The 1,058-nt window shown below is 46.4% G+C and overlaps 1 annotated feature.

The window, feature by feature from the left end:
• Positions 552-621: an enhancer, noted in NCBI's record as "active region_17076". NCBI's record gives its function as "activates an Ori minimal core promoter by ATAC-STARR-seq in GM12878 lymphoblastoid cells {active_cell/tissue: GM12878}" and the evidence as "EXISTENCE:reporter gene assay evidence [ECO:0000049][PMID:35858748]".

The raw sequence follows: 1,058 nt of genomic DNA, 5'->3' as shown, positions 1-1,058 counted from the left end.
TTCCCAGCTCAGTGTCTTTTTCCTCTCTGAAGCACTTTCTTGAGTTTCCCAAGCAAAGATGATCATATTTTCTTTTGCGAAAGTATAAACTGGATATTCCAAAGCCCTCCAGTTTTCTGAGTATAATCCTTTCCTTTAGTAGCCAAATACATTGAATAGCTCCCCATCCCACATGCAGTACAAGATTCAGTGCCCTTTCCAGTATTTCCAAGGTTCTCAGGGAGGTTCATAATTTCCTGCCTTTTGAATTTTTCAACTATCCAGCTTGCTTCCCTGCTTCTCTGTGGGCAGGGACTAGCTTTTACTATAGTTCTCCAAAGCTTCACTAACAAAGACGTGCTGTGTGGCAGACATTTACTGAAGTTTTCAGAGGGGGATCACCAACCAAACAGAATATTAGAATAGCGAACAACCTATATTTAAATATTTGATGACTCATGGCCAGCCTCACGTGGGAGCCTTTCACAGGCAATCCATGCCCCCAGCTGTCACCTGCTGCTTGTTGCTGGGGCTTTTCTCCTCCTCTTCTTTGAGTCTTCAGGGCCCTTACAACCTCCAAAGCTTCCAGGGGCCAGTCCCACAGCCCTGCTTCTGTTATGTGGGGCAATTTGGCGCTTTCTTTGTGTTCTTTTTCATTTATGTAAGTTTAGAGGGGCCTCCCTTTTCATAACCAAAGAGGCTGTTCTAAACAAAAAATAACAATTTTCTTCCTAACAGCAATTCTTTAACATCCTAGAGCAACAGACTTAAACTTCAGTTAGCTCCTTGTGGTGGTTGCCAGATGCACTGCCCAGGTCCCACTGCAGGAGTGAAGGATATATTTTCTCAGCTGCTGGGAGTGGTAGAAACCTCTCAGCTGCCAATCCCCTTCAGGAATTGCCTTAGCTGAAGAGATCAGTCTTGCTCAAGGCCATTTAGCCTTCCTGGGGTAGCCTCTATCCAACTACCAGTCGCAACGCTTCCTGGCCCAAACTCAAGTGATTCTGCAGGGGCCATCCCAGCCACAGAGCTGCCCATGGGGTTGGCAGAAGGCTTTGCTGAGGCTCCACCCAGCTCAT

The sequence above is a fragment of the Homo sapiens genome, chromosome 2 (genome assembly GCF_000001405.40).
Source record: "Homo sapiens chromosome 2, GRCh38.p14 Primary Assembly".
Taxonomy (NCBI): domain Eukaryota; kingdom Metazoa; phylum Chordata; class Mammalia; order Primates; family Hominidae; genus Homo; species Homo sapiens.
This window is presented reverse-complemented; position numbering and strand designations above follow the sequence as displayed.